Raw genomic sequence first — 2,221 nt, forward strand, 5'->3', positions numbered from 1 at the left:
GAATTGTAATGCATGTTACAAACATCACAGCATATCAATAGTTGGTTCCCCTTTTTTATTCTTGAAGAAATTGTGACTCAAAAAGAATAAGTGACTTGGTAAGCATTGGTATAATTATAACAACCAGATCTTAGTAACCTCTATAAATAAGTTGAGTGATGTCCAACCTTTTGCCATTTCATGACAATTTCTTAGAAAAATTATGGGTTGCTTGTAATACCAGAGAGAGGGAGAGAAAATGGTATATTAAAAAGACCACATTTCAAATACTGCTCTGTGATGCCCATATGCTAAACAATTTCATGCTTGGCAACTTCATTTTTAGATATTTTTAAAGAGTTTTCAAAATAAAAATAATTGATGTATGTAATAACCATCCTATATTAGGAAACTTAAGGTTTAGAAATACGTTAAATGTTACTATCACCACCCTTTTCTGGCCTTTTGGGATATATTTTTTCTTCTGTATGTATCTACATGTATGTATTTCTTCTGTTCATGCCCTATTGATGTTGAGAACTATTTGTGTATTTTGAAGTAATTCTGTGTAGTCATTAACTTAAGAGTATGCTGTTACCATAGCTGGTTTACTAAATTCATGGTCCATTCACTTTGCAGAAAGCTATTAATATTAGGTTGATGCAAAAGTAATAGTGGTTTTTGCCATTACTTTTTCACCAACCTAATATCTCAAATGCATGGTAAGCAAACTGCATTCTTTCTTTAATAAACAGTCTACAAAACTGTTGTTCATTATCACTCTGGTGACCTGGCTCTTGGCTCTTCATTTCAATGGCTAACACACTCTATTCAGTTTTTTCTTTACATCCTTTTTTTCTTTCCCTTTTCCATTTCTTTTGTAGAATATCAAGGCTGAGATGATTTTATATATCCACCTGAATTCCAAATTGACTTGGCTCCATGTTGCAGAAGAAACCAACAAATACATCCTTAAGTTCAAAGTCCAGATCAGCACTGTACAATAGAAATATAATGTAAGGTACATATATAATTTTAAATTTTCAAATAGTTTGTCCAGAATACCGGTGTTCCAGCATTATGCTGTGACTGGAATTTATGAATAATAGATTCTATAAGATTAACACAATAGTTCTATTACTTTCAAATTAGCTTACCACTTTAGTTCATTTTTCACCTTTCTTCATTTTATCTGCAAAATATTAAAATTACCAGTTACCTTTCTTTGGGGGAAGAGTCATAGGATTTATATATTTTTATCAAGTCTTTTTCTAACTTACTATATTACAATACCTACTAATTTACAATGTTCTTCAAATGATATGCTGCCCATCCTATAGCCAGATTCCTATAATTAAAGAATGTGTGCATAAAATCATCAGCAAGCTTGGGAGAAGAATCAATCAGCATCAAATTGTTCTTTTCCCTTTTGTTGACTTAATAAAACCACATACATTAACTTAGTTCTACAACCAAGGACCTATAGGAAATCAGGCAATGGATCAAAAAGAAATAGAATGACTTCTGCTTCTGCTCTGGGCTAATATTCTAGAATATGTATGATAAATTATGTTAATGGTTGTAACAAATTTTGAAGAAACTCAGTCGAAGAACTTGGAAAAAATCTACCACCATCAAAATAGCAGAAAAAAGCTTTGGAAGCCAAAGTCATCCATTTAGTTTATTATATAAGTGCTAAAATTAAGATGTTTGGAGAATACCAGTATAGTACTAGGAGATATTGAAGAGATAAGTATCTATAAGTTACTAGATGTCATACTTTCTCTATTAGGTTATATTCTTACTATTATATATCTTAGTATATAATATATAATTATATATAATATATAAGAAATACAATAATATATGATATACATTACATATAAGTCATAGCATATAGTTTATATAGCTTCAGAACAGATGAAATGAAACTTGGGATGATTCAGGGAAGAGAAATAAATCCTAATCACAGGGATATAAAAATAGATTCCATGAAGAAAAGTTAAATAAATCAGTGTGTTTTAGTGGTAGAGTTACATAATTATTACAACTTAGTATTTTTAAAAAATTATACAAAAAGGCAGTTGAAAATTAAAAATAAAATTGCAAAAATACGTGTTTAAGTTGAAGCTGGAGAGCTTGAATTATCTATAAAATAAAATATATGACCAGAATTGGCTATTGAGGAAAGTGATATAGTTTCCACCTTTTAATATCTTAAACTGTGTCCTGGAGGCTTAAG

This window comes from Homo sapiens, chromosome X, assembly GCF_000001405.40.
Source record: "Homo sapiens chromosome X, GRCh38.p14 Primary Assembly".
Lineage (NCBI taxonomy): Eukaryota > Metazoa > Chordata > Mammalia > Primates > Hominidae > Homo > Homo sapiens.